At 54.0% G+C, this 25,836-nt stretch overlaps 1 protein-coding gene across 9 annotated transcripts in view, besides 6 other annotated features; it reads right to left on the reverse strand.

The window, feature by feature from the left end:
- Positions 1-25,836, reverse strand: part of PPP2R2C (protein phosphatase 2 regulatory subunit Bgamma) — a 243,219-nt gene that overhangs the window by 45,486 nt on the left and 171,897 nt on the right. For 8 of the 9 annotated variants that reach the window (XM_047415891.1, NM_001206994.2, NM_001206995.2 and 5 more), the window contains 4 exons: positions 14,931-15,028; positions 12,341-12,506; positions 9,753-9,865; positions 6,457-6,634 (listed from right to left, as the gene is read on the reverse strand). In XM_047415891.1, coding sequence (XP_047271847.1) covers positions 6,457-6,616 — 160 coding nt within the window. In that variant the 5' untranslated portion in view covers positions 6,617-6,634; positions 9,753-9,865; positions 12,341-12,506; positions 14,931-15,028. Of the gene's footprint in view, positions 1-6,456; positions 6,635-9,752; positions 9,866-12,340; positions 12,507-14,930; positions 15,029-15,710; positions 15,803-25,836 lie in introns of those variants that run through there. The other variant, NM_181876.3, reaches the window with a different exon arrangement.
- Positions 1,004-1,744: an enhancer, noted in NCBI's record as "OCT4-NANOG-H3K4me1 hESC enhancer chr4:6368797-6369537 (GRCh37/hg19 assembly coordinates)". NCBI's record gives its function as "activates a minimal SCP1, AML or CMV promoter by ChIP-STARR-seq in naive H9 embryonic stem cells {active_cell/tissue: H9 hESC(naive)}" and the evidence as "EXISTENCE:reporter gene assay evidence [ECO:0000049][PMID:30033119]".
- Positions 1,745-2,485: an enhancer, noted in NCBI's record as "NANOG-H3K4me1 hESC enhancer chr4:6369538-6370278 (GRCh37/hg19 assembly coordinates)". NCBI's record gives its function as "activates a minimal SCP1, AML or CMV promoter by ChIP-STARR-seq in naive H9 embryonic stem cells {active_cell/tissue: H9 hESC(naive)}" and the evidence as "EXISTENCE:reporter gene assay evidence [ECO:0000049][PMID:30033119]".
- Positions 3,233-3,952: an enhancer, noted in NCBI's record as "H3K4me1 hESC enhancer chr4:6371026-6371745 (GRCh37/hg19 assembly coordinates)". NCBI's record gives its function as "activates a minimal SCP1, AML or CMV promoter by ChIP-STARR-seq in naive H9 embryonic stem cells {active_cell/tissue: H9 hESC(naive)}" and the evidence as "EXISTENCE:reporter gene assay evidence [ECO:0000049][PMID:30033119]".
- Positions 10,641-11,321: an enhancer, noted in NCBI's record as "H3K4me1 hESC enhancer chr4:6378434-6379114 (GRCh37/hg19 assembly coordinates)". NCBI's record gives its function as "activates a minimal SCP1, AML or CMV promoter by ChIP-STARR-seq in primed H9 embryonic stem cells {active_cell/tissue: H9 hESC(primed)}" and the evidence as "EXISTENCE:reporter gene assay evidence [ECO:0000049][PMID:30033119]".
- Positions 23,030-23,529: an enhancer, noted in NCBI's record as "H3K4me1 hESC enhancer chr4:6390823-6391322 (GRCh37/hg19 assembly coordinates)". NCBI's record gives its function as "activates a minimal SCP1, AML or CMV promoter by ChIP-STARR-seq in naive H9 embryonic stem cells {active_cell/tissue: H9 hESC(naive)}" and the evidence as "EXISTENCE:reporter gene assay evidence [ECO:0000049][PMID:30033119]".
- Positions 24,384-25,096: an enhancer, noted in NCBI's record as "H3K4me1 hESC enhancer chr4:6392177-6392889 (GRCh37/hg19 assembly coordinates)". NCBI's record gives its function as "activates a minimal SCP1, AML or CMV promoter by ChIP-STARR-seq in primed H9 embryonic stem cells {active_cell/tissue: H9 hESC(primed)}" and the evidence as "EXISTENCE:reporter gene assay evidence [ECO:0000049][PMID:30033119]".

Consider the following 25,836-nt stretch of genomic DNA (forward strand, 5'->3'; position numbering starts at 1 on the left):
ATGCAGGGATTTTATGAGAACCAATCTTAAATGTTTGAAGGGCTGTTGTTTAAGAGACAAAATAAACCATCCTCTTGCTGGGCTCCAATTAGGCACCAGGCTCTTTATGTGAAAGATTTCTTTATTCCTTACAAATATCCTTATAAAAGGGAATTTTCTGATTTTATATTCAGGGAAGCTGATGGCCCAGCAGGCTGAGCAATGGGTCTCAGCCCAGGCCCGCCAGGGCCCAAAGCCCGGGCTCCTTCTCCTGCACTTTAGGGTCTGGGGTCTCTGATTCCCCAGGCGCCCAGATCAAAAAGGAGGTGTCTGTATCCTAAGACCACATGGAAGTGGTGAACTTCCAGCCCACTCCACCTACAACCGTTCATAAGTACCTCCTATCGCCAAGTCCTATGTGGAGCAGGGGATGCAGAGAGGCCTCACCCTGGGTTCCTAATCTCAGGGCTTCCACCATAAAATGGAGGAGGCTGTCACAGTAACAAAACACTCAGTGTGACCGGGGGCAGCCAAGGAGCCGCAGGCTTAGAGGGGCTCTGACCAGCCTAGGAGGGGTGTGGCAGGGACAGGTCAGAGGCTGTCCCAGATAATGGGCTGTGAGATGCTGCAAGTGGGCAAACAGGAGTCAGCCAGGCCAAAGAGGCAGATGGCATGGTCAGGAGAAGGGATGGCGGATGGCAGTGCTCCACCCCACCCTGCCCCATGCCAGGGACCCAGCAGCTGAAGGAGTGAGCCAGTGTGACCCGAGAGGTGGGCAGGGGCTGGTCACCAAAGGCACAGGGCACTGTGGAGGGGCTCAGGCTTCCTCCAGAAGCCAGAGGGGAACCCGTGAGAGTTTTAAGGGGGGCTGACATGGTCAGACCAGAGGTTCCGATGAGCCAATTTCACAGCTGTGCAGAAGGCTCTGGGCAGGACAGGGCGGGATTCAGGCAAGTGTCTGGGGAGAGTAGAGAGGGCTGGGCACCTCTTTCCATTCTGAGGGTGAGAGAGAGGGAGGAGGCTGGGAGGGCTCCTCTTCCTTGAACCTTGGTGACTACACCGAGACAGGTCACAGAGCCTCAGTATCACCAGGCTCCCTCCCTCCAGCAGAGATGTCCTCTGAGTCACCTTTCTCATTGTCCAATAGTCAAAGCAATGCCCTCTTTTTCTCCTTTACTAAGAAACATTTTCCTTTCTCTTGATATGGTTACTAAAAGTCCATTTTGCTGAGACGGGAAGTGTTAGTGATTGGACTTAGGAGATGCGACATGGTGGAAAACCTCCAGTGGGCACGGAGGACTGAACAGTGTCATCGGGCCGAGTGAGGACCCCAGAGAGCAGGGGTCAGAAGGATGCAAACCCCAAGTCCAGCCCAAGCCTTCCCCTGGCTCTGCGCGGACACAGGCCTCCTGACCCTGGGTTTTTCTTGTCAGGACTCATCAGAACTGTCACCCTCTGACAGCCAGAATCCACCCCACTGAGACTTGCTTAGAAGGTATCTCAAACATTCAGAGCAATTCCCAGCTCCGCATGGGGTCTCAGCTGCCTTTCTGGCCTCCTCCCATGTCAGAAATGAAACGCCTCCTCTCATTACTCGGCTGCTATCAGTCCTCATCGCAGCACCTGCAGCCCACAGTCCTCACACTTTCTCTGCCAAGTAAGGCTTCTCTCTGTGGTGTGAGCCCTGGATCTGTGTCTTGTCACTGCAGCAGCACCCCATGGGGAGCCAAGCGGCAACAGGCCATGGGGAGCACCAGGTGCACTGAGGTTCCCCAATGAATAGATCCAATCGGGGAGGTTTCCATGGCCACCATGTGCCCCTGGAGACTCCACTCAACTCCTGCCAAATGCCTAAGTTGCCCTATCAGGGCTGCCTCAAGCCCAGCTCAGAATCTTGTTCATGCTATAGACACACACTCCTCTATCACTAAGGCCAGGGTGCTTTATGTTTTGATGAATTAATAATCATTTTCACAGAATGGGAAGTTACACAGAGATCTGACACTGAGTTACACGGCAGGGTGTGCGGCCAGGGATGTTCCCAGGATCCACAGGGGCCCCCGATCTGCTGACACTCCTCCCTTGTCACTGTCCCTCACCTGGCTCAGATTCTTTGGTCAATAATCATTATTTTCACTCTCTTGCACACACCATCAGCTCCGTGTCTACATCCTCACTTGGCAAAAACCACACCCCTGGCTTACCCTCCACCGACCTGAGGCCTGCAGCCAGCAGCAGGCGTGGCTGGAGAGAAATGTACACGGCTGCGCTGGCTGGGCCACCGACTCCCTGTAGCACCCACGGACCACCTGCTCCAATGCCGGGTATTTTACCAATGGTTTATCACGTGTCCACTCCTGGAGGCAGAATCTTTATCTAGTTCCAGCATCACCCAAGAGGGCTGGCACACAGTAGGTGCTTAATAAATACCTGCTGGTAAATGGTGTGCTCTGCAACATGCGGACAGGGCACAATCTGTGTGTTCGGGACGGGACAGGAGGCAAGGCTCACGGTAACGGCCAGGGAGGACTTTGCAGTCCTGGGATGAACCAACCCCCTTTTCTTCTTTACAGCCAACCTGTCTGAATGTCTTGTGGCCACCCCGATCCAAAACTGGTTATGATACAATCCAAATCTATGACACCTCCATCCTTACAATCTCATTCCTCCACCGCCTCCCACCCGTGGCCACGCTCTGGCCCTGCCTCTCACTCTCTCTCCCCGGGTCTCCTTGCTGGTTCCCAAGCCGCCAGCCTTGTCTGCTGGAATCCAATCCACCCACGACACACACCCACGACATACACACCTCCAAAGCTGGCTAGTGACACGCCCCTGTTTACAGTACATCAATAGCTTCATAGTTTCCCGTTCCCTGGAAGCAGGCAGGTGGGAAGTCGGCACAGCCTCCAGTAATGTAATATAGATGCAGACGGGGAGACAGGATTCAATCCTTCTGATGAATGAAGGGGGATGTCTCTGTTTTGCACTCTCCCCCTTAACATTGAAGCACATGTTTACCTCCATCTTTTCAGAGAGAACCAGCTTCAGGGTCTAAGGGCAACCTGGAGAGAGGCTGCAGCGTCCTTGTTCAGTAGCCACTGGCCACATGTGGCTATTTCGTTTGAAGTATGATTAACTGGAACTAAATCAAATTAACGATGTCGCTCCTCAGTCACCAAGCCACGTTTTAGGCACTCAGCAGGCACATGGGGCTGGTGGCTGCCGCCCCATGAGTGCAGACGAAGCAGTCTACTACCACAGAAAGTTCCAACAGACAGGGCTGAGCCTGTATTTTATTCCCACCATTTTGTGTGCACAGCCGTTATGGTTGAGGCTACCTCCTATTTATGGTATGTGATACTTTAACTTATCATGGTGAAATTCAATTCCCTTTCAAAAGAAAATTACTTCGGCAAAAATAAAGCAACTTGACTTAAAGAAAACAATTTTTTTTAAATGGGAAAAGTAAAGGGAAGCACACGTGGCATGTGGAGGCAGGCACAGCTGTGGGGGGTTTTGTGAATGACTGGCATTCGGGGCCCCTACCCCAAGAGAAAGCCCCCTGCCTGCACCATCCACAGTGCCACAGCTCCGGCACCTTCTGCCTCCTCATGCATCCGCCTCCTGCACACCCATGCCCTCAGGCAGCCTCCTCGAGCCCAGGGAGCTTCCTACCGAAATTCCTTCTCTGGCTTCCTTGGCGGCCCCCACAGCAGCTTGTCCAGACCCTGGGCTACAGCAAGGATGACTCCCTCACTTCCACTGCCATGGCGGGGCTGTGTCCCCCAGCAGCCCCTGAGCCCTCCAGGGAAGGGTTGAGTTTCTCCCATTCATCCCCATGTCCCTAGGGCTCAGTGTGGGCCTGGGAGTAGAAAGGCGTGGGGAATGAATGGTTGAATAAATGAAATGAAGCAGCATCCCTTCCATACTCTAGGGCTTTATGGTTCTTTAGAAAGGGTTTCGGCATCCATAGTGTCACGGAATCCTCACAGCAGCCCAGACAGGAAAACCGAGCAGCAATTACCATCCCCACCCAAGTCCGGCAGGAAGGAAGCAGGTGCTCGAGAAGGGTGGCTGCCACTGTCCCAGGGCTGCAGGGGGCAGGCCGAGGCCAGGGCAAAAGCCCTGGACCAGGCATGGAGGCCCGAGCATGAGCTCTGGCTCTGCCCCTGCCAACTGGGGACTCTGGGCCAGTCCCTCATCTCCCCCAGCCTCCGTTTCCTCATCTGTGAAATGGGGTGATCATCAAATTACCACTGTCTCTGAGCACCAAGTGAGACAACGAACGGCAGGCTGATTTGTAAACTGTACGGTACGGTCCAGGCCGCTCAGTGAGCCCCACACCCTCCCCATTTGCAGACCTGGAGCTCCTGCTAGGAGACCGCCCCTCCCCCACATCCAGGGGTTGGGGGCGGAGCTGACTCCCTCCAGCACCAGGGAGAGGTACAGGAGTCCGGCCTGGCCAATCACAACAAGGCATTCACCCCCAATTAGAGCCCACAAGATGCCATTTAGGGTCCTAGTGGGACAGTTCAGAGAGAACTGGTCTCGTTTCTCCTGGACTTTATTCTGGGAGGGTGGGGCCCCAACTACTGGCACCTGAGATTGAAACACAGAAGACAGCAGAGGCAATCAGCCCAGAGAGCCATCACCCACGATGCTCCAGCCCCTGAAGCCACCTGGCCCGCAGCTCTCTTACAGTTATCCACATCAAACATGCTCGTGCAGCAGAAAGAGTCTAACCAACTGCTGCTATGAGCACTGTGGACTGGTGGGGCCCGATGTCCTTTCGGCTTCAGTGGAGGGTCAGACAGATGTCCAGCCCAGCCCTCTATGTCCAGAGAAATCTGAGCTTCAAGCCTTCAAAGCAGCTCAGGTCCCAATCCTTCCTGGAACCTTCCTGGCTGGCCCAATCCAGCCTCCCAGCTCTGGGCACTCCATGCCTTTGGGACAAGAGAAGGGAGAGAGATGCTGATGCTTCCTGATACCCACCAAGTGCTGACTTAGGGTTCGGCACATCACACATAGGGGCTCACTGACGGCACCCCACAGGTCTATGAGGAGGCATGATTGAAAAGACGGAGTCTCGGAGAGGGAGGTGAGTGTACTCACCCAGGGTCACAAAGCTTGAAGGTGGCAGTCAGACCCAAACAGACTTTCTGCCTCCGAAGCCCACACATGTGCCCCGCACCCTCTGGCTGGCTCAGGGGACATCCAACGCTTTGCTCTGTTCCCTTCCCGCTGTTTTCCAAGGGTCTCCCTGCCCAGGGGTCTCTGGCTGTGCCTGGATCTCAGACCACAAAAGCCATTTGTTACTCTCTTTCACCCTTCCTGGAATGCTCCCTGCCTCCCCTGCTCCCCACAGCTATCCCGGCTTCTACTGCTCCGAGGGACACAGCCCACTCCTGACCACTGCTGGGTGCCCAGGCTGCCTGGAGTCGGGAGGCCATCCAGTTGCATGGAGGCTCTCAGGAGGGTCTTCCCACCCCTTCCAAGACACACCTGGGTGGCATCCTCCACAAAGGGCAGTGTGGTATGGAGGTTAGAAGCGGGGACTCTGGGGCCTGAGGGCCTGGGTTTCAGGCCCAGCTTTGACACTTGCTGGCTGTGAGCTTTGAGCAAGTTAACTTGAGTGCTCTGTGACTCAGTTTCCTCATCTGTAAAGGAGACTTAGAATAGTACCTACCTCATAGGGTTGTTGTGAAGGTGAAATGAGTTAAAATGAATGCTTGTTGATGTTAGTCACAGAGCCTGGCACACAGAGTCTCACTGTGTGTTATTATAATTATTATTATCATTGGTTGTATGCAGAATAGTGACATCACAGCAACCTGCCTGCCCGCCCACCAGCCCCCCGGCAGGCCAAGCCTCGCCCTGCCTGCAGGCTGGTGCTCATGTCATCACCAGCTCTCTTCCCAGCAGTCGGCGGGAATCGTCAATGCTGCTGCTTCCCCTAGCTTGCCCTGACACAGGAGAACACCGAGCAGGGGGCCCTCAGGACCCCAACCCAGCTGGGCTTCTGACACCCTGGTTGTCACCCGAAGCCCTGGCCGGGGCCCCAGTGCTGGTCCTCCTATGCTAACACAGCCTGCCTTGGGTCCCAGTGGGGAGGGCCCCGAGGCGCCTTCAGTGGACGCTGAGCAAGGCCAGCAGTCCCTCGTCCAGAGCAGCTGAACCCTGAACTCTGTCTCCTTCCTGGCCCCTTGTGAGGCCCTAGGATGAGGGGATCATGGCCATGCTGGAGGAGGCGATGGGTGCAATGCTCAGCAACCACGACTTTGCGGTTTTCAGAAACAGACGTGACATGATTTTGTATCTGGGCCTCACACGCATACTAGGAGCCAGAGGTGCCTCACTGAAGAAGTTAAACAATGCAGCCATCCCCAAACCAGCTGTCTGCCAATCAAACCAAACCCACCACCCAACGGAAGCTACTCTGCCCGTGGGAGGCACTGGCCAGGCCACAGTGAAGGATACTGAAGCTCCTGTCGGTGATGGCCAGGTGCCAGAGGTTGATGCGCAGGTCATCCGCCGACATGTAGGTCTCGCAGTCACTGTTGACGGAGATGGAGTTGATGTGGTAGGTGTGGCCATTGGCAAAGATCCTCCGAGGGCTCACCTCCACCATCAGATCCATGGGCTTCAGCACTGGCACCTGCAGAGGATGAGGAGGCAGGGAAGAGGTGAAGGCCAGGTGGTGGCATCAGGACATAGCATGCCGTGAGCATGTGATCCCAACCGGAGGCTGGAACACAGGGGTGGGCGTCCATCCTGATCCTCCGTGGTCTGAAATAGGCAGTGACAGATGGCAAATGCCCGCCGCCCACCAGCCCTGCAAGAGAGGCATGGATGCTTACCTGCTGTGGGTCTGTGAATAAGTGGCTGAACCCTCCTATACCCCAATTTCCTCAACTCTAAAATGAAACAAAAAGATACTGTGGCAGAGCCAGCCAATTGTCTGCCAGGCCTCCTCACCTCCTCCTGCAATGCAGTGCTGTCACTGGGAAACAGCTGTCTACATGTGGACTACATTTCCCAGCAGCCTTTGTGCCCAGACATGGCCACATGACTAGTTCTGACCAATGGGATGTGAGCAAAGTGATACCTGGCCCTGATGCAGCTAAGCAGCGGGAGCACCTTCCCCACCTGGAAGGTGAGGACCCAAGCCTTAGGGACTGAGACTCATGGGATGGGGATGGAAGGATCCTGCAGGAGAGCTGTGTCCCAACCAGCACATCCACATCGAACCTTCCCATAGTGAGAAATGCATTTCCGTGCTCGGCCCTGGACTGCTGGTGTTGTTTTGTTACAGCGGTGGAGTTAGCCTGACTCATACGAACTTTCATCTCAGACAGTTGGTGCGAGGAGTCCTTGCCATGGCATCAGACACTGAGCTTTCACAGCCCTGAAGGTCCCTTGCACAGCCCTGACCAACCCTGAGGCTGTCAACTGGTCCCATCAGCTTTCCCAGTGGACTAGGGATCAGCTACGGGAGCAAGGCGTCACCTCTTGTTTATCTCTCCATCTCTCTAGCGCTCAGTCCAAGGCCTAGCAGAGAGACTCTCCAGTGAATGAGTGAATGTGTGAGAGAATGAATGAATGGGCTGTGTCCCTGAGCTCTCAGGGAACAGCTGAGATGGGAGGTGACAGCCTCGGTGCTGCAGTCGGAGTGACAAGCACTGAGCTCCTTTGGAGCAGAGGCAGCTCTGCAGCCCACGTTAAATTTTCCCACACACCAGGGCACCCAGCCTGTGTGTGTGGGAGTGTGCATGGCTGAGAGTTCATGTATGAGTGTGTGCATATGAGTGTGCATGTGAGTGTGCATGCATGACTGAGTATACGTGTATGTGCATGCATGTGTGTGTGTGTGTGTGTGTGTGTGTGCACGCAGCACCGGTGTGAGTGACAGCCTGGCTCTGGGTGGTTCTTGCATTGTTGCCTCTGTGTCTTTGCTTCTAGGTTGTGTGCCTGGGAGTTGGTGTTAGTGTGACTCCTCCAAGGCATCCTCCCTGCACGTATTCCTGTGTCAGATATTTTAGCTATGCTGCTAACCTTCCCTTCCTTCGGGGTGCAGCCACTGCCCACCCTGGGGATCCCTGGACTCTCAGGAGAGAGAGGGAGCCCAGCTGCTCTGGAGAAGGGCAGAGCATCACTGGCCCAGCAAAGTCTTGGCATCTCAGTCCACCTCCTGCTTCCTTCCGGCAACATTGCTTTCTGTTTTCTCCAGGCGGCCTTGGGACCCAGTTCATCCAGTGCTCCAGCCATTTGCTGCCATCCACCAAACCAGAGCTCAAAACCAGTTTTTTAGTAAAGAGAAGAAGAGAGAAAGGAAACCTTCCCTGAAGGTTTGGGGGTTTCATGAGTAAAACATGCTGCCTCCGCAGAAGCCACAGTCTAGTCAAGATGAGGGGCAAGGAAGATACAGACACTAAGGACAGACAGTGTCGGATCCAAAAGGCAAGAGGGGACACAGGAAAGATCACAATTGTCATCTGGCCTGCGCAGAAAGGCTTTACAGAGGTGAAGGCCAGTAGGGTTTTATGGGATGTATGGGAGTTCACCAAATTGACAAAGTAGAGAAAGGCCTCCTGGGGTGCCCACGGCCTCTCTGTGTTCCTCTGTCACCGCACTGAGCGCCAGTGTGATGGCGATTCCATGTCTGTTTCCTTGGGGGCTGGGGACACTTTGGGGACAGGTACTGAGTTGAACCTTGCTCACCTCTAGGGCCCCAAGGGCTAGCCCGGGGCCTAGCGTGGAGCAGCTCCTCAGTAAACAGCTGCCTCCAGTGTGAACTGCGCAGGGTGGGTAGAATGCTGTGCAGGGTTGGCGTGGCGTGGGTGAAATCGGAAGCAAACAAGGTGAGAGGCAGGATGAGGACAGACCAGGGCACCCAGGTTCTCAGTGACAGTTAAGTGTCTTGGGATGTGTGTGACTTACAGAGAAAAATCTCCAACGCTGGGAGGGACATAAACAGGATTTTTATGAAGGCCACTGGCTCTGCCCCAAACACCAGGGTGATCAAGATGTGATCGCTGTATCCTTCCCTCTAGATGAAACCCTCATAAACTTTCTTGGGACGGGGGGTGGGGCAGGGGGCACCAGCACCCTCATTACTCAACATCGAAGCTAATCGGCTGCCCACTTCCTCAGAATTTATTTGTGCAATTTGCCAGTCATTTAGGCCAATGTATTTAAACATTTATTTCTTCTTCTCAGGAAGAGCACTGACTACTGCTTTATATTTATGGCGGCTCACTGGATGCTGGGCACGTGTGTGTCTGTTTCAGGGTATGTCTGTTTCAGGCCTTTGTAGATGCTGAAGGCCTCACACGGTCCAGGCTTCCTTCTGCCCTCAGTAAAGGACTCAGGAGCCACAAAGCTCTGCTGACCCATTCTCTTTCTGCCTCTGCCTACTCACTCAGCTGAGCAGTTTTAGGTGAGTTGCTGTCTCTCTCTGGGCCTCAGTTTCCCCCTTCTTATAACAAGGGATTATCTGCCTTGCTCTCCACCCTCAGCTATAGGTGAAAAGCACTTTACAGCCATACACCACCCCTGCATGCTCACAAGAAGCCTAGAAGAAACGTGGTCATCTGTATGCTGCTGGTGAGGAAACTGAGGCAAGGGGCAGGAAGACGCCCGTGGCCGCCCAGCAGCCAGCAGCCCAACCAGGGTCTGCACCTGACTCTGGCTCAAATCTCAAAGGCTTTTCCAGCCCTAAAATCCTCAGGTGTAATAAAGAGGCGTGTGCCTGCTTCCCCCTCACCGGAGCTCACCTGCAGTGACGTCACCGTGGACAGGTCCTTAAGTTTCCCCTCTTCATCCTTCAGGTTGTATCCTTCGGGCCTTTTATCTCGTTCGGTAATCTTCCATAATTTGATAGTTTTATCTTTAAAAACAGAACAAAATAAAGCGAGTCACATAATTAAGCAGCCGGATGGAAGAGAAGATCCACTTTAGAAGGTGAAATCATGAGGCACCTCCTGGGGAAGGAGGGGGTTCTGCCAACAGACGGCTTTGGACCAGAACTGCAGCTCTGTCTCGAGGCCTCCAGCCTTCGGCCTCCCTGCAGATTTCGGAACGGCCAGCCTCCGCAGTCAGGTGAGCCACTTCCTTAAAATAAATCCCCCTTTCTCTTTCTCACTCTCATACCCTACTGATTCTTTTTCTCTGGAGAACCCTGACTACTACAGGAGTCAAAACAAATAGCACCATGTTGATGAGAAGGAACTGGGAAGAGAACTGAGAACTGGGGTCAGTGGAGCATCTGAAAGGTACCCAAGGCCCTGCCATTAGGAAAGAGTGAAGCCAGGATTCAAACCCAGGTGGGAAGCTTTGAGGGGAGCGGAGTGTAGGGAGTGCTGAAAGATGACCTTTTCTGTAGAGAGGCAGGAAGAAAGTGACATGTCTTTTTTTTTTTTTCTTTTGAGACAGGGTCTCACTCACATCACCCAGGCTGGAGTGCAGTGGCACCATCTCAGCTCACTACAGCCTTGACTTTACCGGTCTCAGATGATCCTTCAATCTCAGCCTCCTGAGTAGCTGGGACTACAGGCTCTCACCACCACACCTGGCTAATATTTTATTTTTTTGTAGAGATAGAGTCTCACCACGTTGCCCAGGCTGGTCTCAAACTTCTGGGCTCAAGTAATCCATCCATCTCAGCCTCCCAAAGTGCTGAGATTACAGGCATGAGCCACCGCATGTGGCTGACACGTCCTTCTTAAATATTTTCAAAAGGAGCAGGTGCATGGGGACAGGACGAGGCTCCTGTCCCCCAGGGCCTGCCCTTCGGGAGGATCTCTCATGCTCTGCTGGCTCAGGTGACAGATTTGCTGGGCAGGGCCCCTTAGGGGACACAGATCCTGCCTTTGAGGTGCATGGCGGGAGAACACCATCAGAACAGCAGGTGCCCAGAGAGGGGGTGAACCGGAGTTAAGAGGAGCCAGGGTGTCACAGGAGGGATGCCTGGCTCAGTGGAGAGGTCAGAAAAGGCGGGCACCCAGCAAGGCTTATGGGATGAGGAGGGAGTTGGCCAGGTACAGGGCGAGGATAGCCTTCAGGCACAGGCGGGCTGGCAGAAGCTGCGCCTAGCCATGTTCGGGAGAGCCTTGGAGGCCCCGCTGAGGAGCGTGGACGTCCTCGGGGAAGGCGTGGGGACAGCACCTCGAAGCCTGGCTGGTGCTTGTGCAGCGGTTACTGTTCTCAGGGGGTTGAGTGGGCACCATTTCACGGACCCCAGAAGGGAGATGTGTCCACCCTGCTGGGGCTCAGGAAAGCAAGGTCACTGCCCAAGGGAGGCAGGGCAGGGACAGAATCCAGGTGTGTCCTGGCTGGGCACAGTGGCTCATGCCTGTAATCCCAGCACTTTGGGAGGCTGAGGCAGGCGGATCACCCGAGGTCAGGAGTTCGAGATCAACCTGGCCAACATGTAGTGAAACCCCGTCTCTACTAAAAAATACAAAAATTAGCTGGGCATGGTGTTGGACGCCTGTAATTCCAGCTACTCGGGAGGCTGAGGCAGAAAAATTGCTTGAACCCGGGAGGCGGAGGTTGCCGTGAGCAGAGATCGCGCCACTCTACCCCAGCCTGGGTGACAGAGCAAGACTCTTGTCTCTCAAAAAAAGAAAAAAAAGAATCCAGGTGTGTCCTACCCGACCCCAGGCTGCCTGGGTCCGCAGGGGGCCCAGGTGAAGGAGGATGGGCAGGGGGCGTGAGTGGGGGACCCAGGCCCATGGTGAGCCAAGCAGGACAGCCCCAGCCACTCCCTCAGAGTGGAGCCTGGGAAGCAGGCGTCAGGCCGAGAGCCTCCGGTGCCTGAGGGGTACATGCTCCTCCCTGAGGCAAGAGGATTAAGAGGCCGGCCGGGGTCCTAAACCAAGGCTCCTCCCACTGCCCCGCAAGGCCGCGGTGACAGCCCCAGTCTAGGGGTCTGGATTCGGCGTGGGGAGGAGGGGTTCACTTTGTGTCAAATATCCCCCGTGTCTGCGACCTGCATCCTTGTCCATCACACTCCCTCACCCCAAAGCAAAGGCCTACAAAGATGGCTCGGATGGCTCTATTCACAGCAGGGGGCAGCCCTGTGTCTGGCCATGGGGAGCTTCTGAGAGGGTCTGGCATACTCACTCATGGGATTTACATGCTGCTCAAAAAGGGGGGCAGCCCTGTGTCCAGACACAGGGAGCGTCTGAGGGGGTCTGGCATACTCACTCATGGGATTTATATGCTGCTCAAAAAGGATATTATTTTCTAGGCGTTCTGAAGACATAGAAAAATGCTCACAATATAAGTGAAATACAAACCAGCATTTGGTAGAAACATCTACGGCCTGTGCCCATGCAAGCGAGGCCGGGCAGCGCCTCACCGTTGGTGGACAGGAGTGAGTGGGCGGCGTTCTGCTGTGGGAGCCACTTGATCTTGTTGATCTTCTCCTCTATCTCCAGGCTCTTGAGATAGTCAAACTCCGGCTCGTGGCTCTGGAAAGTGCTGTACACGTCGTATTCGCCCTGGCTGTGGGGCGCATTTTTACTCTGCAGGGAAACCCGGAGAAGGGGCCTGAGCACCGTGACCTGCAGGGCGACGGCTAGGACCTCCGGGGACCCAGCAGGGCCGGCCGTGGGACCAAGTGCCGAGCCGTGCCAGGGATCCAATTCGAGGGTCAAATGAAACTCTCTGCAGCTTAACCGGCCCATGACTTGCAGTGTGCCAGGGACAAGCCCCGCTCCCGTGCGGTCCCATGAAACACTCACACCCGAGCCGGCTAACTTGCTAATGCGAATGTTCCCCAGCGCCTGCTACAAGCTGGACACCCCACTAAGTCCTCCCCGCACCATCGCATTCTACCCTCCAGGCCTCCTCTGCTTGAGCACCACGACTCTCCCCATTTCACAGACCAGCAAACAGAGACTCAGAGGGGAAGTGACTTCCCAGAGCCGTGAGGTCACTCTCCGGCGAGCACCCCTCTGCCGAGGCCTGCCTGACGCCAAGGCTTGAGGCTCTGGCCACCCTCGTGTCTTGGGCCCTGACTTGCTCCTGGATTCCACGTGTCCAACTCAGGCCTGACTTGAGGAATAAATGAATTTGGGAGCAGACTTTAACATTGGGACAGAATGTCTGGCAATGTCAGACCTGGATTGGAATCTGTCCCCGGCTTTCCTCAGCAGTGCTTGGCCTGGTTTAGGCAGCAGAGCTCCTTCTAATAAAGACCCTTGACCGTGGAGCTCCCAGCATAGTCAGGTGGTGAGTCCACTGTGTGCGCCAGGGACCACGTTCCCAGGAGAGAGTTCAACTCATACGACAACACGAAACCCCAACCAGGGAGAAACGGAGACATTCAACCCAGAACAATTTCAAGATTTCCTGGTAATTTTTTTAAGTATCTATATTTCTATCCCTGTCTTGCTTTTGAAAAGCTTAGAAGTTCTCCAATATTTTTGCCTCTAATTCACTTCACTTCCCATGAGCACTCGCTATGACAAAGGTCAGTGGGACTAGAAGGAAGAAAACACTAAAGGAGAAAAATTCAAAATGAAGAAAATCGCATCAACCAATCCGATCTCTTTCTGCAGCTTGGCAAAAAGAAGGCTGAGCTTCGCAGTGCCTGGTGGGACACCCCACAGGTGCATCTGGTGAAGCCCACAGGTGCTGGCCGAGTGCTGTGTTTGAGGAACTGATTGGCAGCTAGGATGTGCCCCTTGTCAACTATTTTAACCCTCTGCACTCTGGGCTCCTCCTCTGTAAAATGAGGGGAGTAGCCGCACTGCACTACACCCACAGGGTCACCGTGAGGAGGGTTATGTGAGCCACCAAGATAAAGTCAGACTCAAGGATCCTCAGTTCGTGGGCCATGCTCAGGAGTGAATCGGGGGAAAGATGATTCCGCAGGTCCTCTCTTCACCCCCGGCTTCCTCCCCTCCCTCCTACCTCCCCTTCTCCACCTTCTCTTCTCCTCCTCCCCTCCCCTCCCCTGCCTCTCCTGCTCCATCCCCTCCTCCCTCCTCCTTGGTTTCCTGGATGTCTTCTGCATCTAATTCCAGGCACAGTCCGTGTTTGCGGGGGGAGACGCCCTCTCTGAGGCCGGGTGGTGTGTGACGTTGCTGGCCACTGTCCTGGCGTCGGGCAGCCAGGTCTGCTGTTCACTAGCTGGGTGGCTTCTCTGAGTTTCCGCATCTGTCACAGGGGTGTGGATCTGGCCCTCGGAGGTGAGCAGTGCAGAGTAAACCAGAAGCAACTCCAGAATACTTAGCAAGTGTTCTCAGTAAATGGGCTTTTGTCCCGAGGCTCTTTCAGTGTTCCAGAAACGTGGTCCTGGGCAGGTTGTCCAGGCCACTGCTGTCTTACCCAGAGTTCTGCTGGACAACAAGCCCCCGGGGGTGGGGGTGAGGACAGGGGTGAGGACAAGGGCCCAGGCCTGAGCAAAAACCACCTAGCTCAGTCTGAGGGCTGTGACAGCTGGGCAAGAGTGGAGTCCTCCCGCTCCCCAGTCTGGCCAGGACAACGCAGGTCACCCAGGCAGAGGAAGGTTTCACTGAAGGCACAAGCTGGGGCAGCAGCTGCCTGTGCCACATCCTGACCATTCATCCAGGGTCTAGGACAGAGCATGGGATGCAGGCAGCTCTCCGCAAACATCGGCTGAGGGCAGGGGGCTCAGAACCTGGCTTTGCCAGCCCACCCAGTGCACTCCCCCTACCACCGCCCGCCACTCCCACCTCGGCATTCCAAAGCATCCCATTCCCACCCCTGGAATCCATGCCCCTGGGAGATGTGATCCAGGCAAGACACCCCACACCTCCTGTCAGTTAAAAGCCCTCTTGTGGGTTGGAGTATAGTCCCCTCCCACCTCTCACCGCATCACCCCTTATCCCCCTTATCCTTATCCCCTCCCACCATGCCCGCCTCCCACCTGACTCTGCTCCCCACCCCTCCCACCTCCCACCAGACCCAGGGCTTCGCACCTCTGGTTCCCGCTGGAAGATGACGACCCGGCCGCCCTTGTCACCTGTGGCCAGCAGCTCTCCCGTGTGGTTGAACTCAACGGTAGAGATGATGTCAGCTGGGAGGGGAACAGCAAGACGGGAAGGGGTGGCTGTCAGAACCCGCCTCTCCCGGGTGCTCAACAGTGCCACAGCAATGGCGAGCTCCCCGCTCCCCGAGGCCCCACAGCCCTGGGCAGGAGGCAGCAGGGAGCCTGAGGGGTCAGGAGCATCGGCGAGGGGCCACCAACCTGTCCCCTCCTGCCCTCCTCTTCCCTCTGCACTGGCTGCAGGGCAGAGATCTCGGGACTTGGCACAGGCCTGGGGCGACCACAGTGGCTGGCAGACTTTATAGTAACTGGACACTCTATGGGACTCACGGTGGTATCTGAAGCCACCTGGATGTGGCCTCATCCTCCTGTCTTGAATCTCCCACACCTACCCCTGCCACCCAGGCCCCCATGCTCCAGCAACCTGGGTCAGGGAAGCCCTTCCCAATATCTCCATAGATAAGCGCAAGGCAACCCTCTGCTAGGGGCCCACTCAGGGCTTCCCACACAGTAGGACAGAGGTGAATTACCCCCTCTCCTTCAGACTCCTGCTCTGTGGCCCCACCTCCAGGCAGGCCTCTGGGATCGCTCTCTAATCTCTGCTCGCAGAAGCGAAGCTCAGCCCTGCCTGCCCTGACCCTCCCTGCACTTCATCCCAACCATGTTTCTTCAGGTCACTCAGGAACCTCTCCTTATGGAGTCACCCCCATACCTGGAGTCTTCAATGCCCAGGGCTGGCCTTCCTGGATGGGCAAGTGTTTGGAGAAAAAAGACAGCCCCATCTCCAGGCCCCACTTTTTGCATGTGGGAACTAGGGGAACACCCCTTCCATCACCAACATTCTCAGGTTCTACGAGTCACAGAGATGAGTGGCCTGCACATTCTGGGTGGCCAGCCCTGGGAGTGGGGGAGAGCAGGGGAGGACAAGGCCCTAGCCTGGAAGAGAAACCCCCACTGGAGGACAGCTCACCAACCTGAAGCCTGAGGCCTGCTCCACCAACAAGTTTTACTGCAGCCCCAAAATGATTATTACTTTTAATTTGAAGTCATTCTTAATATTTGAAAAGTAGAAGATTTCCTATAAAAATCCACATTTCCAGTATGTCTTGGAAGATGGAAAGTTCTAGAATACCATCCCCATAGGCCCAAGCAGCAAAAGCTAGTAGGAGCCCGGGATGGCCCGCTGCTGTGAATGGGACCTCTGTCGTTCTTTGCTCTCCTGGCCTGGATTCTGTAGTCTCCAAAATCTGTGATACCACCTTTAGCAAAATGGATCTACTTTCAAACCAGCCACAGATCTGACCGTTGCTCCCTGTAGCCACAGAGAGGACACTCCACAGGGTTCCCTGTCCCAGCCTCTGTTCTCCCTCTGGCGGCCAACGTGATGACCAAACTCCTGAGCCAGTGCATCCCTGTGTCCCTCTATTCAAAACCCTTCATTGGTCACCATAACTGAATTCTGATCCCTCCTCAGCCTCATCCTCTGCAGCTTCCCCAGTCTCAGGTGATGACAGCTCTATTGTTCACTTGCTCAGGCCCAAGCCTTGGAGTTTCTCGTTCTCTCTCTCTCTCTCTCTCTCTCTCTCTCTCTCTCTCTCTCTCTCTCTCTCTCACACACACACACACACACACACACACACACACACACACACCCCACATCCAATCCTGCCTGCTCAGCCTTCACAGCATATCGGGATGCCAGCCACTCTCCCACCTCTCACTGGATGACTGCCACAGCTCTTTCTCCCTGGCTATGACGTAGCCTCAACAGACTGGCAGCAGAGAGGCTGGTAACACCCAGGACTGATCCTGGCACTCCCCTGCTCAAAACCCTCCAGCGGCTCCCATTGTGTACTCAGAGAAAAGCACAGAGTGTTCTAAAGGCAGCCCCCACCTGCCGAGGCCCAGGTGGGCCGCATCTGGAGCCAAACCTTCACCCCTCCCATGGTGGGCCAGGTGACCTGTTCTCTGCCCCCCACCTTGATTCTGGGCTTGTCCCTGTGTTTTGCTTTGGCCTGCAGAACGGCAATTCGACAAGCCGCAAACAGAGATGCAAAGGGGCTTAGGTACTGGGGGTTGCCATCAACGCCTCTGGCGGTACCAGGAGCAGGACCTGCGCAGGCTGGCCCACTGGCCCCTGAGGGGGAGGAGGAAGAGTGGGTGCAGAAGAACCCCCCCAACCCCCGGCCAAGCCCAGCCTCCAGCAGGGCCCCACTGACCCACAGAGCAGGGCAAGCCCAGCCAAGCCCAGACCACAGAATCGCAGATGCAAGATGATGAAAACATTTACTGTTGTATGCACGGGGTCTCGTGTTTTTAACTCAGCAAAAGGTACCTCCTCCCCTTCCCCAGCCTCATCTACTGCTCTCCACCTGCTTATTCCCCTCCAAACACCAGGCTCCTTGCCCTTTCCCAAAAGTCCTGGCCACCTGCTGTCCCAAGACCTGCTCTCTCGGCCTGCAGTGGCTTTCCCTGGGTACCAGCATGGCTCCTTCCTATTCTTCCAATTCTGCCCCACTGCTGCCTTCCCGTGAGCACAGCTTGGATCACCTTGCTGAAACTGCTGTCTGCACCCCAGCACCCTCATACAGGACACCCTGACCATCCCTGCCCCAACCTAATCTGATGTTTTTCTTTCTGTAAAGGCTTTTATCATCTGTAGGCTCTCTTCCTGGCCAGAACGTAAACTTCATGAGGGCAGGAGCCTCAGGCTTAATTCACGGCTTCAAATGGTGCCTGTATGCAGTAGCCAGGCCAGAGATATCTATCCAAGAAATGCCTTTTCTTTTTCCAGTCTGGGCCTTTTAGGACAGCTCCTGGCCTGCCCTGGCCTTCTGAGCCATGAGTCAATGCCAGCTTTGAGGCAACAGAAAAGATTGAGAGAGGGTGGTTAGAAGTGGGATGACGGGCTGGACGTATCCATCCATCCATCAAGACAGATGCACATGTCACTGAACTTAAAAAGACAAGATAAGAAAAGCAGCTCTGTGGGAACACGGAAACGCCCACCGGGCATGGAGTCAGAACAGGGTCAGGTCCCAGCTGTCCTGACATTGTCCCTCCGTGGGGCAGCCTGCCCTGGCCCAGGGACACCCAGACACATCTGGGCAGAAGCCAGAACCACCCAGCCCAGCTGTGCTAGGGTCCCCGATGGGGCGCTGGTTCTTGCTATTTCATATTAAAACCCCCTGAGGGTGAAGGAACGGGATATAAAATTGGGTATAAAATGCTTGTAATGATCTACATCAGTGATTATAGCCATGTGAAATAAGCAAAGAAACTGGGCAGTGGGGAAAAAAGCTGGAAGAGAATTCTCCAAAATGTGAACGGAGGTAGCTTTAGGGTAGCTGGAACAAAATAATATTTCCTCCTCTTTCAACTTGTCCATATTTTCTAGATTTTCTATAATGAAGTTACATCATTTTTTAATAGCTGTATTGAGGTACAATCAATATATAAAACGCTGCACATACTTAATGTATATAATTTGATGAGGGTGGGCATACACACAGTGTATATTATTTTTATGATGGGAACATAACAATGCTATTAAATTAAAATGCCAATATAACTATTGCTATCCCAAGTAAATGCAGTCCACAAATGCTGGGTGGTTACCAGGCAACACACACTAATGTCTGTGGGCAATTTACAATTTATATGTCATTTTCATATCTGCTACCTCCTTTAACCTCACGCCAGCCCCTGCGGGAGACACTACTGTGATTTCCATTTGGCAGCAGAGGAGATGGAGGCTCCCTCCATGAGAGACTACGCCATGAGCTCTTTGCAGACAGAAGTGCTGGTTGGAGTCTTGGCTCCAGTGCTTCAGCTGTGTGGTCTTGGGTAAGCCACACAACTTCTCTGAGCCTTGGTTTCATTATCTGTAGTGTGCTTATGGTGGAGCCTTCCCAGGATTAGAGGTTCAAGTGAGACAAGGAGGTGAGAGGGTCTGGGAGGGAGGAAGAGAAGACGAGGACTCCAGGAATAATGAATCACCAAAATGTACTGGACAGAAACTAAAGCTCCCGGTCACCTGTGCTCCTGGCTGCCACAGAATTGACAGCCACAAGCTCTGCAATGTGGCGATGGATCTGGGCGCCCAACCTCACTGTGGATGGTCCCGCCTACCAGTCCCGCCAGTCGCTCCCTGCAAACATCTACAGAACCACCACCAGACCTCAGATCCCCTCTTGCCTGAGCACTGCTTCCTCTGGCCCATGAAGGAGCTAGTGGATGTTTAATGTCTACTCATTTTTATAGGTAAATGTCTTCAGGATTTGCCTTAGGAAAAGTTGCCTCTCTTGAGTGCCAGAAATTCTCATCAGTAAGGCCATAAAATTGGTTGTTTTGGCAGCCACCTCTGTGAAGAAAGTCCATCTTCTCATCTTGGATTATCTGACATTTCCAGCTCCAATACCACCTCCTCCAGGAAGCCTTCCTGGATAGTCCCCTTTCCCCCTCCCCCAGTTAAGTGGTCTCTCCTACAACTGCAGGCTTTTATTTTATTTATTTATTTTTTTGAGACAGAGTCTCACTTTGTCACCCAGGATGGAGTGCAGCGGTGCAATCTTGGCCCACTGCAACCTGTACCTCCTAGGTTCAAGTGATTCTCGTGCCTCAGCCTCCCGAGTAGTTGGGATTACAGGCACCTGCCACCACACCCAGCTAATTTTTGTATTTTTAGTAGAGATGGGGTTTCACCATATTGGTCAGGTTGGTAAACTCCTGACCTCAAGTGATCTGCCCACCTCGACCTCCCAAAGTGCTGGGATTACAGGTGTGAGCCACCGCGCCCGGCCTACAAGTGCAGTCTTAAGGCCATTGTGTGCTCTTCACTAGGTACTGACACTTCCTGCATGGTGCTGTCTGTGTCCACGTTGTCTCTAGCCTTGACCAGAGGAAACAGCGCCGCACTATGGTTGACCACATTAACTCACATTTCTTAAGTGATTACTGTCTGCCAGGCCCTGCTCTAAATGCTTCCGGTAATAGCCTAGTAGCTCCTAGTGCAGCAACTCTCTCACAGATAACTATAGACTATAAACCCTTGAAAAAACAACAACAAAATGACACTCTGAAGGCATCGGAGGGTGAGGCCGCAGCAGATGCTGCAGGCGGTCAGCAATTGGGAGGAACAGCCGGCGTTGGCTTTCCTGGTCTCATGGCTTTCACAGCCTGAGGACAAGTCCCAGCCTGTGTCATAGGGCTGCCAGAACTCAGACGGAAAGCCAGAGTCTCACTGGCTTGATAGAGCAGCAAACAGAGTCTGAGACACTCGCAGCAGCTGGAAAAATGTGGGAGTAAATTCTGGAATGAAGAGAGCCACCAAGACAGATCCCCAGAGGGGGCAAATAAACTCTGCCCATGTCTTGGGCTGACCCCAAACCACACACACACAGGACAGACTTCCAGCAGCTGCAACCCAGCCAGGGCTAGAAGAAGTGAACAGAGGCTCCTGCCACTGCCCACCACTCACGACTGCAGATGGTTTACAGTTGCTTTCAGCCAAGTTAACTGCTTGCAAATACAAAGCAAAACAAAAATGCTCTTTGGGGAGAAGTAACAAAAATCTAGAGTCGCTCTTATGCTATCATTCACAACACCCAGGATATCATCCAAAATTATATGAAGATATACAAAGAAATAGGAAAACCAGCCATACTTAATATAAAAGACAGTCAGTGGAAACTCACCTGAAATGTGCTGGCCGCTGCAATTAGCAAATAGAGATTTTTAAACTTGCTATGATAACTGTGTTAAAAGACGTAAAGAAAATTGGCTCATACTTCATGAAAGAATAAATCTCAGCAGAGAAATATAAACAATTTAAAAAAGAACTAAATGAAAATTCTATAACTTAAAAATACCATGTCTGAGACAGAAAAAAAATCACACCTTAACAGAAATTGCTTAACAGAAAGTCTGAGAAAATAGAAGAGTTAGTGAACTTGAAGATGATTTCAATAGAAATTACCCAGTCTGAAGAATAGAGAGAAAAAAAATTTTTTTAAAAAGAAAAAGATCCTCAAAGACCTGTTGCATATCAAAAGGTTCAACACACATGTGATTGGAGTTGTAGAGGGAGGGGAGAGAGAAGATATACTAAAAAGAACACATAAAAAAATAATGACCGAAAAATTCCTCAATTTGGTAAAAGACATCAATTTACAAATTTAAGAAGCTTAGCTAACTCCAAGCAGGATAAGCACAAGGAAAATTATACCCAGGTACATCCTGGTCAAACTGCAAACTACTGGAAACTGAAATAATGAGAAAATGTTAAAGCAGCTAGAATAAAAACAACATATTACATTCAGAGACACCAGGACTCAGAGACTGCTGACTTGTCAGCAGAAATAATGGCACCCAGAAGACTCTTTTAATGTGCCGAAAGAAAATGTTAAAACCTGGAAACCCAGAATTCTGAATTCAGTCGAAATATTCGTCAAGAATGAAGGGCAGGCCGGGCACAGTGGCTCACACCTGTAATCCCAGCACTTTGGGAGTCCAAGCCGGGTGGATCACCTGAGCTCAGGAGATCGAGACCAGCCTAGCCAACATGATGAAACCCTGTCTCTACTAAAAATACAAAAAAATTATCCGGGCATGGTGGCGGGCGCCTGTAATCCCAGCTATCTGGGAGGCTGAGGCAGGAGAATTGCTTGAACCTGAGAGGTGGTGGAGGTTGCAATGAGCCGAGATTGCACCATTGCACTCCAGCCTGGGCGACAACAGTGAAGAAAAAAAAAAAAGAGTGAAGGGCAAAATAAAAAGACATTTCAGCTGAAGCTTTCCCAAGGACCAGCACTTTCATCTCAGAACAATCCCATCGACCAATTATCATTCCTTACTTAGAGACAAGGAAACTTGGTCAAACTTTCCCAAAGTCCCCTAAGTGGCAGGGCCTTTGGCATGTGCTCTTTTTGGCCATCGCTGTCCCCACACTGCAGGGCCTGGAGCTGCCACTGGCTGCAGCCTCGAGCTCAGGGCCCCAGATCAGCCACTGGGTGCATTATTCCAAGTCACTCTGTGTGGGTGACGAGAAGCCCATGGAAACTCATGCTGTCCTTCCCCCCCTGAGGTGCCTCCTCCCTTCCTGGGCAGCTCTAGGGCAACCCCCAAGTGGAGAGGCACACAGGAGCCACTGAACAAGGAGGCCTCAGCCAGCCCCCTGGTGCTGGGCACAGCACAGGCCTACCAATGGGTGCCCAGAGAGGTGAGAGGTGGTATCCCTAGTGACCCGCCCAGTAACAGGTCCCTGCACGCCAGAGCCAGAGATGGGCAAAGATGGTATCGTGGGTTGAACTGCATCCCACAAAAAGATGTTAAAATCCTAACCCCTGGTACCTATGAATGGGAACTTATTTGGAAATAGAGTCTTTGCAGATGATCAAGTTAAGGTGCGGTCATACTGGATTATGGTGGGCCCTAGATCTAAGGACTGGTATCCTGATAAGAAGTCCATATGAAGACACAGCACACACAGATACAGGGAGGAGGCCATGGGGAGACAGAGGCAGAGGCTGAAGGGAGGCATCAAGAATGAAGGGCAGGACGGGCATGGTGGCTCACACCTGTAATCCCAGCACTTTGGGGGGCCGAGCCGGGCCTCCCAATGCCTGGAAATGCCCGGAAATGCCAAGGATTGCCAGCCACCACTAGAAGCTGGTGGGGAGGCCTGGAACAGAGTCCTCCCTGGAGCCGTCAGAGGGAGCCCAGCCCTGCCAGCATCGTGATTGCAGACTTCTGGCCTCCAGAACTGTGAGAGAACAAATTTCGGTTGTTTTAAGCCACGCAGTTTGTAGCACTTTGTCACAGCTTCCCTAGGAAACTGACACAGAGCTGAGATGAGAGTGTGCAGGCTCCAGCCCCCGAGAACTGGGCTACCCCCAAGCCGGTGGCACTTGCTGGCTTTCTTCTCCACGTGCCACCTGGGGGAGACATCGCCCTTGGATCTTACAGATGCCCCCTGCAGCTTTCATCAAAGCCGTGGTAATCCAGTCCCAGCCCCACTACTTACCAGCTGTGTGCCCTCACCCAAATCTCTTGCCCTCTCTGAGCCCTGACTGCCTCATGGATACAATGGGAATTGACATCCCTGCCTGGCCATGGTTCTCCCAGGGTAAATGTGAAATTCAAACGATTCTGTGGACTAGGACGTTCCCTGGAAACTCTGGCCGAGGCCTGCAGACAGGAGATGAAGATGCTCGTCACGGACTTCCTCCCCAGCACGTCGGGGGACTTGCTCCCCTCGTCCATCACCATAAGTGCTGCTGACACCATTAATGATCCATCAGGGCTCAGGGCAGAGAGGGGGCCTTAGGCAAGCCCAGCTCGAGCCTTCTGATGAGGTTGTTGCATTTAATTAGCATTGTCAGAGGTATCAGGGCTGCTAAGGATGGAGGTGGGCGAGGAAGGAGGGGTCCGCCTGCTGCCGAAGGGAAATGTCAGGGAGAGGAAGAGGCTCCTGCAGCCATTAGCACCTGGTATGGGCTTGGCGAGCGAATTTACCCAGCAGCGGGCTGACACTGGGATAAGGAGATGGGGAGCCCCCTCCTCACGGAGTCCAGGTCCAGCGGGGTGACGTGGCGTCTGTGGTTATCACAGTACACCTTCTGGGCACTTCCTGGGAGCCAGGCCCCAGCTTTAGCATTTTACACCTATTACTGAATCTTCTTAACAACTCCAAGATGTTCTTGTGTGCTGTTATCACCCCCATTGCACAGATGAAGAAACTGAAGCACAGAGAAGACAACTTGCCAACAGCCGCTCAGCTAGTAAGGGCAGGGGAGAGATTGGATTCCAGCGGTCTGCCTCCTGAGTCCTTGAACTTGCCCCCCAGGCCTGGTTCTCCTCTCAGCGTTTATGGGGTCAGAGATGGGAGGCTGAGGAGTTGGTGAAGGAGAAAGCAGGTGCTGAGCAGACGCCCCACCCACGTCTATGAAAGAGACCCTCAAAAGGCCCAAAATGATTCCTGCAGGTGGGAGACCCTAGCCTGAGACTCACAGCAAAAGGGTCTGGAGTTTGGGGTCTGATTCTGCCAGGGATGCAGCTTTTACCTCCACGTACTTCCAGGGGACAGGGGAGAGCTGCTTAGGACCACCTTAGGTCCTGAGTGCCGGCTGCCCAGAGGGGCGTGGAGAACACAGCAGAGGGAGGCTGGGGGTGCACACACTGTGCCTGGGGGATTGAGCAAAGCCACAGGATGCTACTGGCCACAGGACATACAGCGGGGTCTCCCTAGGTAAGGACTCTGCAGGAGACAGCTCTACAGGAAACTTCCAGACTGCCCTGTGAAGGACTCCTGACAGCTGTGAGCAGCTGTAATCACCCACCAAGCACACTCAGAGTGGGCACAGCCACCGGCAGGTAGAAGGCGGCCCATCCCCAGGCTCCCTTCCCAGCCAACAAGAGCTGCCTGAAAAGGGCTGCAGCCAGGCCCCTCCCCATGTCACCCTCCAGCAGGGAGCACGCCGGGCGGCGGGCGCATGGGAGGGGAAGCGCCAAGTCTGGGCGGAGTCAGACTGTTGCCGGGACTGGACATCAGCACTGAGTGAGTGACGGAAGGCCGTTGGGCTCTCCAAGGGCGATCAGAAAGACGAAGACCTCATTCCGGGCCAGGGAACGGAATATCCCTGATGGGATTTTATGTGAGGGGTCTGAGAGCCGCAGGGCCACCGGGGTCACAGATCAGGCCTGCTCACCAGCCCTCTGCACTCACCTAGTCCTGGCTCATCATGAGTCCAGGCACCGCCCGGCAGTGATGATCACCTTATTACTGAATTCCACTCTCGCTGAAGAACCCCCACATTTCATCACCACCCCACCTTCCAGCGGGCCTGGTGAGACGTTTCCTCCTGCAGCCTGAACTTGGTGGAGATGGGGCAGCTCCCAGGCCTGTGGTCAGAGGTTGGGTGGGGAGAGTGGGGACAGTGTGGCCAGGGCAAATGGGCCCTGAGCTGTGCTTTGGTCACTTGGCTGGAGGAAAATGTGAAGGGGCTGGTGGGAGTATTTTTGGGGGGTGTCAGAGAGTGTCTGTATGGGGTGGGTGCCAGCTGCCACCTGCCCACCCACGTAACCTGGACACCCAGGAACCCAGGATCTGCCTGTCAGGGCTCTGCCGCCCTGGCCTCTGGCAGGAGCCTGGGTCCCACCCCCACACACACCTTGGAAACAATCCCTGTTCCACCTCATTGTGGCTGTGACCCTGGGCAAGCCACCTCCCCTCTCTGGACCTCTCCCTCCTCCCTACCGTGTAGAGGACACAAGCAGATGAGGGAGGAGGCTGGGACGAGCCATGGCAGGCGCTGTGCAGGGAACTCGCCCTTATTGCCACATTGAATCCTCTGCACACGCGCTGGGCCTCGCCAGGCAAGTCCTGGACTTAATATCACCTCCCCTGAGCTTGGTTTATAAAAAGAAAAGCACACCGTAATAGCAGAGCCGGCAGATGATGAGTTACATAAACATTTAAACTGGGCACAGTATTGATTTGTGTTAAAGGCCATGGAAAAAGGATTCCATGATCCCGGCCTCCACCCCAAGAGCACCAGGTGAAATGGGAAGCTGAAACCTCCAAGTGTGGTCCCAAGACGTGCCTGTGACTGGTGGTCAGCCTGCCAGAGCCGAGGACACCAGGAACATGTGGCCGACACAGTGACCCTTGGGGGAGCGGCAGCAGGGGAAGCCCTGGGTGGGGCTGGAGGCCTGGAGGTGCCATGGCTATGCCCTTTGCATGCAGTGATCCCCCAGAACTGCCACTGTGTGGAAAGGGGGAAAGACCTGCGTTTGAATCCCACCCTGACCAGCTGTGTGACCTTGGGCAAAGCCCTTCA

This window comes from Homo sapiens, chromosome 4 (assembly GCF_000001405.40).
Source record: "Homo sapiens chromosome 4, GRCh38.p14 Primary Assembly".
NCBI lineage: Eukaryota > Metazoa > Chordata > Mammalia > Primates > Hominidae > Homo > Homo sapiens.